The sequence below is a fragment of the Homo sapiens genome, chromosome 7 (assembly GCF_000001405.40).
Source record: "Homo sapiens chromosome 7, GRCh38.p14 Primary Assembly".
Taxonomy (NCBI): Eukaryota; Metazoa; Chordata; class Mammalia; order Primates; family Hominidae; genus Homo; species Homo sapiens.
The window spans coordinates 47,708,992-47,726,088 of record NC_000007.14 but is presented as its reverse complement, the minus strand read 5'-3'; the positions used below and the strand labels follow the sequence as shown (position 1 = coordinate 47,726,088).

Below are 17,097 nucleotides of genomic sequence, written 5' to 3'. Positions count from 1 at the left end.
ACACCAGTGTTTTACTGGCACCAAAGCCTATTCTCTCAACTGCTGGGCAACACTATCTATGTTTCAACTCTTCTTTTTTTTAATTGACTCTCACATCTCTCCATGCTGACCGTTGGCCTAATCCCCATGTATAATTCAGTAAAGGTAAATGTTCTACAAGGAGCCAAACACTGTGTTTAAAATATACGCTTCCCAATTTTGTTTAATCCAAGTTTGAAATGTAGTCTTCTTAGAAGAAAGAGACTTTCATGCAATCCTCCATGAGTGTAAACTTTGTGTTCATAGCAGAACATTTGATGAGAATCAGATCAAAGGTGTTTCTGGCTGTATCCTGAGTACAGTATTCTACATACAGTATTCTGTTTTGCTGGTTGGGAGCAGATTAATCATCTAGGAGAGGTTGAGTTGACAGAAATGGACAGATCGCAGGATGGAGAGCCTGCCCTTCCCAGCTCCGCAGGCCAGGGGGAAACCCCTGACACGTGGGGGCTAGGCAGAATGACTTACTGAACAAACACACCATGAGCTGAGTGCCCAGCCAACCAGATAAAAACATCCTTCACCAGGAAATTGAGGTATCAGGCCTCAGTGGCTTTTCAGGGTGTGGATTCCTTTAAGGGCAACCTTGTTCTCAAGAGTTCATTGTTTTGGTTCCTGCTAAACTCCCTGAAGGTAGTTTGCAGATAACCCCAGAAATGGGCAGGAGGGCCTGCCAGCAGCATGGGGCAGGCTTGTTTCTTTCTGAGGAGCCCAGGCCCCATGCCCTTCAGCATCACTCAAGACCACAAGGTCCCCACTCCCTGATGGAATAGCCACCCCCACCTGGCCTGGCCAGCTCCTGGCCACTCCTTTACTGCTGTCTAAATCTCAGAGTCCATCAGTGTGGAACATGTCAGATTCAGAGTTGCTCAGATATTTCCCCAGAGCTTGTATAGCACCAGGACCACCCATTGTCTGCCCTCATCATCCCAACTTGGCAACCTACCCCGCCCTTCTTACATTTCCCTCATTGGTCCTTGCACATTTCAGCTTTGCAGCCAGGCTCAGCCATTTAACCTTATTTCTGGGAATTTCAGAGTGAGCACTGGGTAGGCCTGGAACCTAAATCCCATGGCTTCCATAGGCAAACGTGTCTCTTTTGTCTGTCACCAGATCAAAGAAAGGGGGAAAGGGAAGGGTTTGGTTGGAGGTGGGGGAACAGTATTCTTTCATTCATAGGCAGAGACTGGCTTGTGTAAAAGTTTCAGGTTACATGAAATCTAAGCAGTATTGAAAGAATCCTGATGACTTCATCTCCAAATGCCTTGAATAGCCTTCCTCAACATCCTGCTGGGGCCACCCTGGGGTCGGGGACTTGCAGGCTTTTTAAACACATGGGCTTTGCCAGCTGCACAGGGTTTAGGGGACTGTTTGCAGCTTGGATGTATGTAGCTCTTTGTCGAGGGAGGCAGACCATTTCTAACCATACCTGGCCCTGCACCCTCCCAGGCTGTTCCACCTGCTTCAGGCCCTTTCCCTGCTCCTGACTCCCAGAGCAACGTCACGCCACACCTCAGGGGCCAACTCGAAGGCCGCACACCGGGCACACACCTTCCCCAACGCTGCTGCTCTGAGCTGGCACAGGGGCGTCCCCACATCCTGCCAGTGGCCCTTTAGGCCTTGCCTTGTAGGAATTGCAGGAGGCCTCAGACAATCGCCCCAGGATGACAGAGCCCTTGAGAACAGTGTCAGCGTCAGACTTGCCCTGTATCCTCCTCATGCATGGCCAGTGGGAGACTCCAGTAGACACCGGAGGGGTGGACTCAGGAAAGCATGAACGAATGGCCGAAGGATGACAAAGTCTCACTCCTCTAGGGGTATGGCAATTTCCACACAGCTTTCACACCCAGTATGCCAGCGGTTCCCAACCATTTTGGCACCTGGAACCAGTTTCCTGGAAGATAATTCTTCCATAGACTGGCAGTGGCGGCAGGGGAGATGATTTCAGGATGAAACAGTTTCACCTCAGATTATCAGGCATTAGTTAGATTCTTAGAAGGAGCATGTAGGCCAGGCGTGGTGGCTCACGCCTGTAATCCCAGCACTTTGGGAGGCCGAGGCGGGCGGATCACGAGGTCGGGAGATCGAGACCATCCTGGCTTACACGGTGAAACCCCGTCTCTACTAAAAATACAAAAAATTAGCCAGGAGTGGTGGCGGGTTCCTGTAGTCCCAGCTACTTGGGAGGCTGAGGCAGGAGAATGGCATGAACCCGGGAGGCAGAGTTTGCAGTGAGCCAAGATAGCGCCACTGCACACTCCAGCCTGGGTGACAGAGCAAGACTCCGTCTCAAAAAAAAAAAAAAAAAAAAAAGAAGGAGCATGCAACCTAGATCCCTCATATGTGCAGTTCACAATAGGGTTGGAACTCCTATGAGAATCTAATGGTGCCGCTGATCTGATGGGAGGCGGAGCTCTGGCGGTCATGCTTGTTCGCCTGCAGTTCACCCCCTGCTGTGCGGCCCAGTTCTTAACAGGCCATGGACCGGTACCAGCCCGCAGCCCAGGGGCTGGGGACCCCTGCATGAGGCCATCTCCAGGGTCACACAGACAGTGCCATTCATACTCGCTTATGGCTCCAACCAGAACCCATGGTGCATGAGACCCATGTCATGGAGAATAATGGAGTGACTTGAAATCAGGACTTCCATCTTGTACCTGGGAGGGCACAGAGGTGACCACAGAAGTAGCAGAAGTCAAGTCCACCCCTTGGGGCAAATGCAAACCAGCCATTGGGCTAAGAAGGTAGACGGCCATGTGTAATCCCCCTGAAATGTCACCCAGTACTCATTTCCATCTATGCGCAACTTCTGTGTTCCCAGCACAGAATAAGTAAAAAGTGGGGGAAATTAAAAATTAAATGTGGAGTTAGGAGGTCTTGGCTTCTGTGTCTCCAGCCATTGAATAGGAGAGCAGTAACGGAGTAGAAGATGATGGTTTGGAGGCAGAACCCCATGGGCTGGATGGCGGCCACAGGATGGGTTTGAAGCATAACAGGAGGTAACCACATCAACTCATTCAATCCTTTGGGGTCATCTTCAGGTCCAACTGCCAGGTGCTATGGGCTGAACTGTGTCCCTCCAAAACTCATACACTGAAGTCCAACCTCCTGGGCCCTCAGATGTGGCTGTATTTGGAGATAGGGTTTCAAAGAAGTAATTAAAGTAAAATGGGATGATTAGAGTAGGCCCTCATCCAATATGACCTGTGTCCTTATAAGAAGAGGAGATTAGGACAGAGACACACAGAGGGAGGACCATGTGGGGACGCAGGGGGAGGACCGTCATCTGGAAGCCCAGGAGAGAGGCTTCAGGGGATTCCAGCCTGACAACATCTTGATCTTTGATTTCCAGCCTTTAGGGCTGTGAGAGAGAAATGTCTGTTGTTTAAGCCACCCAGTCTGTGCTATTTTATTACAGCAGCCTGAGGTAACCGAGACATGAGGGTCAACCTTATTAACGCTTTGAAACTGAGGAAACCGAGGCTGTGAAAAGACTGAACTGGGATGGTTCCCAGATGTGTCTGGCTCCTCAGCGTCTCCTCTTCCCACCACACCACAACCACGGGAAGAGGGCACAGCACCCTTTTTCCCTGTCCCAGGTAGAAAGTCCAGAAGATAGTGAGCAGGTCTTAGGCCAAGAGGAGGTACTCAGAGCCGAGCTGAAGCCCCTCGGCAGAACTGTGTGGAGCCAAAGGAGAGTGAGGACAGCATGGCCGGAGGAGCCCAGCACACAGGCCTCCAGAGGGGGACAGGCCAACGTGAGGACAGACGCTGCTCATGGAGACTGGCCCACAGCCTGGGTGAAGGGTATCAGGGGCACAGAGTGATTCACCAAGAGCTGGAGGTAACTGGAGGGGCTGGGGAAGCACAGGTTTGGGGAACCAAGTCCAGAGAAAGAGAAAAAGCGCTAGTCTCAACAGGGAGAGAAAGTGTCCCAGGTGTGTAAGGAATGTGACAGCCTCTGTCAGCGAAGTCTGGGGTTGCTGAGCACTGGACTTGTCTGATCTGACATCAGAGTCAAAGCACCAGATGTGCTCCCCAGGAGGTTCTTCCCCCGCAGAAGCACAGACTCCCTACAGACGAAGACCCCCTCGGGCTGGCCAACTTGCGGCCGAGACCTTCCCAGGAGACTCTGACCAGTGGCCAGGGAAAAGGAGAGTTGGGGAGCAAGCAGCCCCATCACAGCCTTTCTGGAAGCAGTACCCCGTGAGAAGGGGCTCGGGGGGACACCTGTCGGCCAGGTAGAGAAGCGCAACAGGGCCATCCTGTTCTGCCCCTTGCTTCCTGCCTCCATGAAGGCCCAAAAACCCATATCTGTGTGTAAATAGGTCATGGGGTGGGGGTGGAACTGCCACTTACTCAGCACTGTCCTATGCCAGGACTGAGCATTCATTCATTCATCATCTCAATCAACACTGAGAGCCTCCTCCATGCCAGTCACTGGGAATACAGTGGGAAGCAAAAACAGGGCCCTGGCCCTACTGAGTTGGGATTCAGTGCTGCACACTTTCACACGAGTCAGAGACATTTCATCCTCACATCATCTCTGTAGAGTGGGCAGCATTAACTCGAAATTAGTAAAGAGATTCAGAGCGTTGGGCACCTTATCCATAGACACAGCATGGTGCAGGCCCCGAGGGTTCTCAACTAAAGGCCGTTTTGCCCACAAAGGGACATTTGGCAATGTGGAAGACATTTTTGGTGTCATAAGTGGATGGTGCCACTGGCATCTGGTGGGTAGAGGCCAAGGATGCTGCTAAACATCCTACGATTCCCAGGACAGGCTCCGTAGCAAAGATTTCTCCAGCTCCAAAGGTCAACAGCACTGAGATGAGGAGACACAGCTGCAGACCTCACTGGAGCTCACTCACCTCCAGTTCTGCTCACGGAGGCCCAGGATCTCCACACCCCAAGACCCTCGCAGGGGGATTGGCTTGTGGCTGCTCTGGATAAAAGGCATGAGAGGAAGTGCGTGTGTCACTTCTGGGCAGAAGTGTAAACATGCGGGTGACAGACCTCCATGGACGTTCCCCCACCATGAAGGTGAAGGTCGCTTTCTCTGGAGCTGGCCAAGCTTGGAGACAGGAGCAGCCTGCAGGGCTCGATTTCTGTACAAGGGACAGCTGCCCTGTGAAGTCACGGGCCCACAGAAGATTTTGCATATGTGAGAAATAAACAAGGACAATGTGAAACCACTGAGATTTAGTAGATGTTTCGTTACCACGGCAGAGCCCAGTCTAACCTGACAAATACACACGCTGGTGAGGACTCATGCCAACATTCAAGGCCAAGCTTCAGCCTCAGCCTCCTCACCTGCCAAAGGCATGTTGTGAGGGTCCAGTGAGATAAAGCATGTGGAGCACTCAGGATGGGAAGACAAGCCTCAAAGCCCAGGCCCTGGGCATGCTGCAGGCAGGTGGCCAGTGTCCTGGCCATCATCACCATCTGCATGCGGGGGAAGAAAGAGAGTGTGAGCTCACAGACAAGAAGGAGGCCAGGTTGTGAGACGGCCAGGCTGGGCCCTGGAGGCGTGGGAAGAAAGCAGCTTCCCCAGCCCTGCGCTGGCCCTGAGCCCTGAGTGCACGTGAAGAATGAGGTCAATCAGCCAGCATCTTCATCTTCCTGCAATGCTGCATGAATGAAAGAAATGAATTTCAAATGACTTGGACCAGTATCTAATTATTATGATTTATTAACACCAAGTACATAAAGCAGCCCCTGGACATGACATTCCCCATTCCCCCCGTGAGTCTGGGAGCCTGGCGAGCCTCCTGCTGCACCCTGAGCAATTCTTTTCATTATCAGCATTATTATTATTTATAGCAGCCCAGCCACCAGGAAGCAGGGCAATCACCAATCTCCATAAAGTTCGCAGCAAGTTCAAGGATCGGCCAGGAGGCCTTGAGGGCAGCTATGAAAATCAGAAAACAGCTTGGCAGCTGGGGAAAGGGGACCCCAGTGGCCTGAACGTCTCCAGAAGTTTTGGCCTGTCTGATCTAAGAGGCTCACTGACAGAAAGGTGAGCTGGTACAACTTCTGCACCTTCTCTTTCTTAAAAAAAAAATGTGGTAAAATACACTTAACATAAAATTTACCATTTTAACCATTGTAAGCGTACAATACAGTTCAGTGATATCTAAACACATTCACGTTATTGTGCAATCATCACCACGCTTCATCTCCAGAATGTTTTCGTTGTGCAAAATTGAAAGTCTGTCCCCATTCGACACAAACTCTCCATTCTGCGTCCCTCTAGCCCCTGGCAGCCACCACGCTACTTTCTGTCTCTATGAATTTGACCACTCTACATCTGTCACATGAATTTAGCTATTCTAGGTCCCTATTCTGGGTTCCTTAAATATCATGCAGTATCTGTCCTTTTGTGCCTGGCTATTTCCTATTTCCTGTAGCAGAATGTCCTCAAAGTTCATCCGTGTCATAGCATGTGACAGAATTCCCTTTCTTTTCAAAGGTGAATAACACTCCATTGTATGCATATACTACATTTTGCTTATCTATTCATCTGCTGGAGGACATTTGGGCTGTTTCTCCTTTGGCTACTGTGGATAATGCTGCCATGAACACAGGTATGCAAGTATCTGCTTGAGTCCCTGATTTCAATTCTTTTGCATGTATATCCAGCATGGACTCACAAGATCATATGGTAATTCTAGTTTTCATATTTTGAGAAGCTTCCATACTGTTTTCCACAGTGGACACACTATTTCATGTTCCCTGCCCCCCAACACAAGGGCTCCAATCTCTCACCACTTCTACGCCTTACTATTAGGACCTTTCGGTGATCACTATGACTGCTGGAATTCGCCATTATGGAGTACTTAACAGTGTACCCAGAACTTCCACATTCTCTCCAACTCCAAAGGTTGAGGGCGATGCTAAGCTCGTAGGAGCTTTGGAATACAATCATAGTAACACTTTCTCAGATTCAAGAAGCCGCATGTGTTCTCTAAACTTCATTCTGAATGGAGGTTGGTCAACAATGCTACATGAAGACAACATGTAATGCTTAATCACAGAGGAAGATGTGCAAATGTAAATGCTGTCATACTTGTCTATATAATAAACAGAAACCATACTCTCATCAGACACATTTCTTTGCTCAGCATATTACCTTCTCCTTCTCCCTCTGGGTTGGAAGTCACTGGCAGGATTTGAAGAGACGAATCCTGAAGAGATGTAAGGTATCTTGGTTAACTGGTGGGTTTTGGAAGCAGTGCAATCCAGCCCTGTGCCCCTAGGTGAGGCACCTTTTCCCTCAGAGATGGTTCGTCATGTGTAAATTGCGGCTGGTGACAGGATTTAATAGTCACAATAGTCGTCACTTACCAGGTGCTCCCTGGGTTTCAGGCACTTATTTTTAAAATTGAGAAAATTCACGTGTAATAAAATTTACCATTGTAAAGTGTACAATTCAGTGGCTTTTTAAAGCGTGTTTATAAACCATCATCATGATTTAATTCCAGAACATTTTCATCACCCTAGAAGAAACCCTGTACCCATTAGCAGTAATCCTGCACCCAATTCATCACCTACCCCCACCTCCTGGCAATGACAAATTAACCTACTTTCTGTCATTATGAATTTTCTTATTCTGGACACTTAATATAAATTGAATCATATTAAACATGGTCTTTTGGATCTGGCTTCATTCACCTAACATAAAGTTCTCAAGGTTTACCCACCTTGCAGCACGTGTCAATACTCCATTCCTCTTTACGGCTGAATAATATTTTATTGCACCTATATGCCACATTTTGTTGATCCAGTCATCTGCTGATGGACATGTGAGCTGTTTCCACCTTTTGGCTATTATGAATAATGCTACTAAAAACTCTCATATGCAAATTATTGTGTAAACATTTTGTTTGTTTGGTTTTTGTTTTTTGGTTTTTTGAGGCAGAGTCTTGCTCTGTCACCCAGGCTGGAGTGCAGTGGCGTGATCTCGGCTCACCACAAGCTCCACCTCCCGGGTTCACACCATTCTCCTGCCTCAGCCTCCTGAGTAGCTGGGACTACAGGCGCTCGCCACCACGCCCGGCTAATTTTTTTGTATTTTTAGTAGAGACGGGGTTTCACCTTGTTAGCCAGGATGGTCTCGATCTCCTGACCCCGTGATCCGCCCGCCTCAGCCTCCCAAAGTGCTGGGATTACAGGCATGAGCCACCACGCCCGGTCTGTGTGAACATGTTTTTAATTCACTTGGGTATATAACCTAGGGGCAGAGTTGTTAGGCTGTAGGGTAATTATATGCTTAACTTCCAGACTGTTTCCACAGTGGTTATACAATTTTACATTCCCACCAGCCTTGTAGGAGTGCTCCAATTTCTCTTCTTCCTCACTGACACTTATTGTTGTCTGTCATTCTGATTACAGCCATCCTGTGAATGTGAAATGGTATTTCATTGTGGTACTGATTTAATTCTCTTAAAGACTAGGGATGTTGAGTATCTTTTCGTGTGTTTAGTGGCCATTTGTGTATCTTATTTGGAGGCATGTCTATTCAGTTTGTATATTTTTAATTAGGTTATTCGTCCTTTTATTGTTGAGTTGTATGAGTTCTTTTTATATTCTGAATACTGAAATTATCTATTATTCTTTGGTTGTTTGTGCTTTTGGTGTCATATCTGAGAAACCACTGTTAAATCCAAGGTCAGGAAGATTCAGTCCTATGTTTTGTTGTAAGAGATTTATAGCTTTAGCTCTTACGTGTAGGTCATTGATCCATTTTTGAGTAGATTTTTGTATATGGTGTGAGGTTTGAGTCTAGCTTCACTGTTTTGCATGTGGATTTCAGTTGTCCTAGAGCCATTTGTTGAGAAAAAAAGAGTTGTCTTTGTGCTCTAATTTAAAATCAACTTCCCATAGATATACAGATTTATTTCTGGCCCAGACACTGTTCTAATTGCTTTTGCCTTGTAGAGTAATTGTGATGATTAAATAAAGGGAGAGAAAATATTTTGCCCACTTCAATACTTATCCCCTACACATATGACAAACTGTGAATAGTTGCAAGGATTTTTTTCACTTTTACAAAGCTTGATATTTGTTTTGTTTTGTTTTGTTTTTGTTTTTTAATATGGAGTCTCGCCCTGTCGCCCAGGCTGGAGTGCAATGGAGCAATCTCCTCTCACTGCAATCTCCGCCTCTTGGGTTCAAGCGATTCTCCTGCCTCAGCCTCCCGAGTAGCTGGGATTACAGGTGCACGCCACCATGCCTGGCTAATTTTTGGTATCTTTAGTAGAGACCGGGTCTCACCATGTTAACCAGGCTGGTCTCAAACTCCTGACATCATGATCCACCTGCCTCAGCCTCCCAAAGTGCTGGGATTACAGGCATGAGCCACTGCACCAAACCCCGATATTTCTTACTTTCTATTTTAATTCGGAATAATATTTGGCATTCTTCCAGGATGGATTTTAATGGCTTATGTATTAGGAATCATCAATAGACAATAAATTTATTTATTAAGTGCTATTAGGTCATTAGGTTAAAAAAATAAATAGGGCCAGGAGCGGTGGCTCACGTCTGTAATCCCAGCACTTTGGGAGGCCGAGGCAGGCAGATCATCTGAGGTCAGGAGTTCAAGACCAGCCTGGCCAACATGGCGAAACCCCGGCTCTACTAAAAATACAAAAATTAGCCGGACTTCGTGTCAGGTGCCTGTAATCCCAGTTACTTATGAGGCTGAGGCAGGAGAATCGTTTGAACTCGGGAGGCAGAGGTTGCAGTGAGCCCAGATCGCACCATTGCACTCCAGCAAGAGAGAAACTCCATCTCAAAAAAATAAATAAATAAAAATTTAAAAATATATAAATAAATAGACCTTTAACAAGTTAAATGTAAATAATTTAGTCCAACTAAATTATTAATGGATAAAGATCCCATCAAAAAAGAGACGCTTTACTTTTTCCACACAGAGTAATGATTGGAATTCTCTCCCCTTTTTCGGGTTAGACATCTGAGACATGAAAATTAAAGGACAGGCCTAGATCCAGCTGGAGAGCCGGGCACCAAGTCAGAGCCCTTTGCACCAAGTCCAGGGTCCTTGTGTTTCATGCATGCAAGCCCTGCCTTCTTGTTTACAGATGGGAAGCCCAGCGAGTCCTTCTTTAGCAGGGGTGACAATGTTGTACATTAATCTGTAACACCAGGGACATTAGGCCCCCATGTATGATTGTTAGGCAGAGACAAAATAGGTGGGGTCTCCCTAACAGAGCATGCTGAGGAAAGGACTTAGGCATGGGATGAGAGGAGGTGCCAATGGTTTCTTAGTTGAACATATGATCAAGCACTTTCCAGAAGTATATGTTGACATGTAACCTGCCCTGCCCCACGCAGGGCCTTCATGGGTCAAAATGGCTACCCGCGGGTCACAACCAATGACCTCTGGTTACTTCACAATTGTCATGTGCCTACTTGGGTTGGGGTGGGGGTGTCGCACTGTGGTGGTCCACAAAAAATGAATGGAAAAGATTAGGCCTTTCTGTAGCAAAGGAAGCTTACTTTAAGTAAAGACTGAGATTGCATCTGCTGTGATCATATTGGATGTTGGTCTGCATGGCTGGAAGGAAAGAAACCTGAAAGAGAAACTATGCAAATGACAACCATCCAAGACCACAGCATCTCCCCCACAGTCAATCCTTGTGTTCAAAGGACAGTTGTGTTTTCAGCACCCAATGGAACTTCCTCAAATTGCCGAGAAAGTTTTGATGGTTATTGCTGCTGTTTTATGAGGATTTATTCAATATTTCCTACATGTGATACTTACTAATTATATATTCAATATCTCCTACAAACCATACTTACGAATTATTTCTAATTCTTGCAAGAACTCTAGAGTTTAGGTATTATTTCTCATTTTACAGTTGAGAGAACTGAGACTCAGAGAAGGCGTGCCAGTGTCACTGAGATTTTAGGAGATAGGACAGAAACAGAACCTGTCTATCAAAGCACAGATGTTTTCACCCTCCGTACTGTGGGTGCTTACCTCATATTTTGACTAAAATGTTTTATTTGGTTTATTTAGCTTCTGAAATTTGTATTCCTCACACCTGTCTTTATGTGCCTGGGGGGGAAATCTTAAGCATTGGAACCAACATCCCAGTGATCAGAGAGCAGAAAGAATTCATGGCTTCCTCCCCAGTGGCCCAGGTAGGGCTGACCCGGAACTCTGCTCAGAGCATGGATGTCTCAGTTGCTCTGTGTGCAGCTGCCTTGTGTGGAGTGAGCTGATCAGGAGGAATTTCTTCAGGGGAATATAAAACTCTTTGCAATCAGGATTTTCAGGGCTAGCTTCAGGCTCCTGACTTCTGAGTAACTAGGTCAAGGCTATTTCAAAATTAGCAGAATGGTACTCATCTTCACTATTGGTATCTAACACTGACCTAGAAATAGCAAGTGATTCAGTACGATAAGAAGATGAAAGAAAAATACTGGAAGTGAGGGGGTAAACTATTAGTTTATTACTTCCAGATAAACTAATTAAAATTATTACAAACTAATTATTTAAAACTAATTTAAAATATCTACACAAAATCTTAAGAGATGCTGGGCGCAGTGGCTCACGCCTGTAATCCCCGCATTTTGGGAGGCCTAGGCAGGTGGATCACGAGGTCAGGAGATTGAGACCATCCTGGCTAACACAGTAAAACCCTGTCTCTACTAAAAATACAAAAAAATTAGCCAAGCGTGGTGGCGGGCGCTTGTAGTCTCAGCTACTCGGGAGGCTGAGGCAGGAGCACGGCGTGAAACCGGGAGGTAGAGCTTGCAATGACCTGAGATCATGTCACTACACTCCAGCCTGGGCAACAGAGCGAGACTCCATCTCAAAAAAAAAAAAAAAAATCAAGAGAATCAAGTAAAGCTTAATTGATGAAATAAGAGAATTCAGAGTGTGGTCGGTTATAATATAAATATTTAGAAATCAAAAGCTTTTTCAATATTAGCAAGAGAATATCATTTTTAATAAGTATTCTACTCACAACAGCAAAAAAAATCTGAAATATCTAGGATTAAATTTAAGATTTACAGAAGGCTATAAAGAGAATAACTTGATGAATAGAGTGATATCATAATTCAGGATTCAAAGCTCAGTACCACAAAAGAGGCCAGGTAGTAAATATTTTTCAGCTTTAGGAGCCACATGGCCTCTGTTCCAGCTGCTCGATTCTGCTGTGATTGTGTGAAAACAAAACATAAACGAGCCACCAAACGTGGCTGTGTTTTAATAAAACTTTATTCACTAAAACAGCCGGAAGGCCAGTTTGGCCTGTGGGACATAGTTTGCCAACCCCTACTACAGGTGATTGTCTTCTTCCTCAAGCATAAAATACTACAAGGAGAATTATGCTGCTTCTAAAGTGTTCCCTCTTTTGAAATATTTCCTTAGGATAGACTCTTAGAATTTTGATTCCTGGCCAGGCGCGGTGCCTCACGCCTGTAATCTCAGCACTTTGGGAGGCCGAGGAGGGCGGATCACAAGGTCAGGAGATCGAGATCATCCTGGCTAACACGGTGAAACTCTGTCTCTACTAAAAATACAAAAAAAAAAAATTAGCCAAGCGTGGTAGCGGGTGCCTGTAGTCCCAGCTACTCAGGAGGCTGAGGCAGGAGAATGACATGAACCCAGGAGGCGGAGCTTGCAGTGAGCTGAGATCCCGCCACTGCACTCCAGCTTGGGTGACAGAGCGAGACTCCGTCTCAAAAAAAAAAAAAAGAATTTTGATTCCTGGGCCAGGGAAAATAAAATATAGTTTGGGACAGATATTGCCACATGCATTCTAAAATGCCTCCTACAAATTGCAGTGTGAGCAACTCATGAGGATAACTACTTCACACTACCACCAGTATTAGATGAGTTATTTTAAGATTGTTAAATTAATCTTTTTAAGTGTTTCAAATAGAACTTCTGTGATCGCTGTTGACGGGGAAATTTTTTCTTTCTTTTTGGATTTTTTGGAATTATCAGGTTACCTACTTTGTACCCGTACCCCTTGAAGTTGAAGTGGAAGCGTTTTTAAAATAAAACGTCCCATGGGCTATTGACAATATACGATGTATCATCTACTTTGGGGCTCCTAAACCTCAAATATTTTAGTTCTTGTGCATTTAAAGATGACCTTTTTATGTTTACTTTAAGGAATTTCCTTTGAAGGTTTTAATTTAGCCAAGATAGTTTGCAGTCAAGCTGCTATGAAGTGTAGGGACATAATTGAAGTCAGGGTTTCCCAAGCAATGTCTCCTGGCAATTTTCAAGGCACTTTATAGATATTTTAGAATACAGCTCTTTCCAGCCCTTCTCACATTCTTTCCTTAGTCCTCCATTTGGAAGGTCCTGCTCCCAGGAGAGGTCAACTTGAAGCGCCGAGAAGCAGCAGAGAGCGCGGGGGGCTGAGTATGCGCGCAGTGCTTGTCGCCTAATGCGTTTATGGCTTTTATGCTTATGAAGACAACTGTGATGCCTCAAGCTCAATTTTCAATGTAATTACCTGCATGTGATATTGACGTGAATCCCTAGGTGATAGGTTACAGATATTCCTATTTCATTTCTGACTTGTTGGTGTCAAATGAATGGACCCGTGAACGGGACTGTCATGGGAAAAAGTGACTCAAAGATAGTATTTAGCTGCCCCAAATAGCTCACTTAAAAAAAAAAAAACGCAAGCAGATTTTAAAATTTTAGGACTATTGCAGTGAAATCTTACCTGTTAAGAGCCCATGGAAAGATCACCTTCCTGAAGAGCTGATGGACTGCTGTTGTAAATGTCAGGTCGGGGTGGGGGTGGGGGTTGGGTTTTTTAACCCATTTAGATGGAAGCCCACACAAGTACACCAAGTCAAAGGCTCCTTCCTCAACGACTCTGCGCCAGTCATGATCATTGCTGAAATCTAACAAGAGCACAGCTTCTGCTGCATGTGGAATCCTCACAGAAACCTCTGAGGGAGATTGCTATTAGCATGCCCTTTTTACAGTGGGGGAAACCGAGGCACGGAAGATAGTACCAGTTACTTTCGTAAGAGGACTGCTTGGGCAATAGACCTTGCGAAGAGCCTCATTCACACCCACCATGCCGTGCAGCACCCCGCCGTCAGCCTGTGGGCTAGGATCACGGAAGGGGCTGTGAGGATGCGACAGGCTCTCACCTGCAGGGCCCAACCCTGACTCCACACTCAGTGTGATTTTCTTCATCCTCCTTCTCCTCACTTCTACACCTGTTGCTCCTGGCCTTCTTTCAGCTGGAAATTCACGCCATCCAGATTTTTAAGATTTTTTTTTTTTGTAACAGACTTTCACCCTTTCTTTCTTTTTTTTTTGAGACAGAGTTTCACTCTTGTTGCCCAGACTGGAGTGCAATGGCGCAATCTCGGCTCACCACAACCTCCCCCTCTCAGATTCAAGCAATTATCCTGCCTCAGCCTCCCGAGTAGCTGGGATTACAGGCATGCGCCACCATGCCCAGTTAATTTTGTATTTTTATTAGAGACAGGGTTTCTCCATGTTGGTCAGGCTTGTCTCGAACTCCTGACCTCAGGTGATCTGCCTGCCTGGGCATCCCAAAATGCTGGGATTACAGGCGTGAGCCACTGCGCCTAGACAGGAGTTTCATTCTTTTTGCCCAAGCTGGAGTGCAACAGCATGATCTCGGCTCACCGCAACCTCCGCCTCCCGGGCTCAAGCAATTCTCCTGCCTCAGCCTCTTGAGTAGCTGGGATTACAGGCATGTACCACCACGCCCGGCTAATTTTATATTTTTAGTAGAGATGGGGTTTGTCCATGTTGGTCAGGCTGGTCTCGAATTCCTGACCTCAGGTGATCCTCCCTCCATGGCCTCCCAAAGTGCTGGGATTTAAGGGTTTTTTTTAAGAAGTGCAAGCAAATTTCCTCCTTATATAGGCCTATGGCATTCACTGAAGAGTCACAGTCAGCAGGCAACAGTCTGCAGAGGCATATGACATCTATTTTGAATGCTCAGAGAGATTTTTTATTCAGAACTTAATTTTCAACCCTGTTTTCACACAGAATAAAGTCCTGTGCTAACTGCCCTCTCGTTCACTATTTTCTCCTACTGAATTTAACCTTTTCATGGATGCCCACACTAGACGATCAGAAACTCTAGTGGCCGAGAAAGTCCAGGTATACCCCTATGTGGCCCTTGCAGCATGCGACTGCATGGGACCCAAGGATAAGTCCTTCCTCCACTCCCAGGGGACGTTCCTTGAGGTCCTCTGCCTGCTTCTCATCCTCCTGGGGTGGAGCCAGCCTATACCATTGAGACCCCCCAGACCTTCAGGTTCCAGACAGGCCCAGGCTTGCCTCCATCTGACCAGGGCCCTGCTGGAGTTCTTAGGGGCCACCCACACCTCGCCCCAGGATCTGCCCTCCGCGTTGGGGAGGGGGTTTCTCTGGAGCCTGAGCTGGGCTATGCCCAGCTTTGCTGGAGTCCCCTTGGCTCACACAGTGGCTGCTGAGCTCTGGTTTCAAGGAGTCATTTATCTCCAATCCATTCCATATTTTGGATGGAGTCCCAGCCTCTTCTCTTTGACACATTACACTGCTTACTTGGACAGTGGAGTCTGTTTTTCTTCACCTTGCCTGGAGACTGTGGGCAGGTCCAGTTCTCTGACCTCTGGCCCCTCTGCTGGTGCTGCAGGAGTTGGGAGGCTGCTCAGCCCACATGGGCCCGTCCGGGCCCCTCACCAACAGCGTGATTCAGACAGTGGCGGGCGGCGGGGTGGGGGGGTCCTCCCCCTTAACTGCAGGTAAAAGCTCCTGCGGAGATTTCTAAAAATATGGACTTATGAGCCTCACTCCCATCCTCGTTTCTGACTTGATGTCACGGGTGGAGGCTAGCAACAGTGTTGTTTACAACCTTGCAGGTCCTCTCCTATGCACTCAGTGATGGGAACCATGTCTGAGACCACAGGTGACCCCAACAGCACTGAAACCCACCCAGCCTGGGGAGCTGGGGCCCAGAAACAGGGCCGGTCCACTGGCTGGTTGCTTCCACCTCCTCATGGAGAACACATGTCCTTTCCAGATACAACCCCCAAAGCATGTATCAGCCCTACCGAAAGCCACCGTGGCTCATCTGCTATGGGGAGACTCCCGCCAATGCAGAAAGATGTGTGTCGTCAAAGCCAGGCGGTGGGCCTCGGCAGAAATCAAGAACCTGTAGCTGGAATATCGTGGTGTAATCAACTCAGCCATGTGCTGGACTCACCAGGGGTCAGCAAAGGGCTCTTCCCATGGGACTAAGGGCCTGGACTCTTTGAATCCGTGGGCCCCGCAGGAATGAGAAGGGCAGGTCCTCTGCTGTGCCCGAATCTCTCACTGTCTAGAGAGAAACAGGTCTCTGTGGGTGACTGTGTCAGCTCCTCTTCCTTCTGGCTCTGGCTGAAGGCTGCCTGGAGGGAAGGAGAAACAGGGCCTTGCAGGCCAGACTCAGGGATGCCTTCTCCCTGGGCGCAGACAGAGCGATTCCTGGGTAAAGGTGTTCATCCACCCCTCTTTCTCAAATGGCCAGGTGGAGTGGAAGATCCCTCAGAAATGGCTTGTGTGGTGGCTCCTGAGCCCAGCCTGTGCCCCACCCCCACCTCCCCCTTCCCACCAAAGCTTTGCAGGTGACATGGCTGATTCCTGCCCACCTCTATCTGCCCATGCCCCCGTCGAGGCCTGAATCATGTGCCTCTCTGAGCCCCTCCCTAGCCTTCTGCCCGTCCTCCAACAGGACTTTCCATTTCCTTTAGCTTTTCTGTGCATGATCAGTCAGCCCCAGGCATCACTCAACCGTGGAGACACTCTGGCCCTGGAACCAGCCTGTCCCTAGAAGATGGTCAGTCAGAGTTTGCTGCATTAGGAGATGAATGCAGTTGCCTGAGGTGAGGGAAAGGCAGTGGTTGGCAATAGAGGTGGAGGTGCAATATTATCACTGTGTGACTGTGGGTGACCACCCCAAATGAGCTCTTGAGTGATTCTCTGCTTCCTGTGAAACAGGGACAGATGCTGGCCCTCGGCCCCAGGGCAGCAAGGCAGGACCA

At 47.4% G+C, this 17,097-nt stretch overlaps 5 annotated features.

Moving 5' to 3' along the window:
- Positions 1,171 to 2,102: an enhancer, noted in NCBI's record as "H3K27ac-H3K4me1 hESC enhancer chr7:47763585-47764516 (GRCh37/hg19 assembly coordinates)". NCBI's record gives its function as "activates a minimal SCP1, AML or CMV promoter by ChIP-STARR-seq in primed H9 embryonic stem cells {active_cell/tissue: H9 hESC(primed)}" and the evidence as "EXISTENCE:reporter gene assay evidence [ECO:0000049][PMID:30033119]".
- Positions 9,964 to 10,258: a silencer, noted in NCBI's record as "tiled region #2260; K562 Repressive non-DNase unmatched - State 22:ReprW". NCBI's record gives its function as "weakly represses a minimal TATA promoter and a strong SV40 promoter by Sharpr-MPRA in K562 cells {active_cell/tissue: K562}" and the evidence as "EXISTENCE:reporter gene assay evidence [ECO:0000049][PMID:27701403]".
- Positions 9,964 to 10,258: an enhancer, noted in NCBI's record as "tiled region #2260; HepG2 Activating DNase matched - State 5:Enh". NCBI's record gives its function as "activates a minimal TATA promoter and a strong SV40 promoter by Sharpr-MPRA in HepG2 cells {active_cell/tissue: HepG2}" and the evidence as "EXISTENCE:reporter gene assay evidence [ECO:0000049][PMID:27701403]".
- Positions 10,811 to 10,890: an enhancer, noted in NCBI's record as "active region_25981". NCBI's record gives its function as "activates an Ori minimal core promoter by ATAC-STARR-seq in GM12878 lymphoblastoid cells {active_cell/tissue: GM12878}" and the evidence as "EXISTENCE:reporter gene assay evidence [ECO:0000049][PMID:35858748]".
- Positions 15,246 to 15,960: an enhancer, noted in NCBI's record as "H3K27ac-H3K4me1 hESC enhancer chr7:47749727-47750441 (GRCh37/hg19 assembly coordinates)". NCBI's record gives its function as "activates a minimal SCP1, AML or CMV promoter by ChIP-STARR-seq in naive H9 embryonic stem cells {active_cell/tissue: H9 hESC(naive)}" and the evidence as "EXISTENCE:reporter gene assay evidence [ECO:0000049][PMID:30033119]".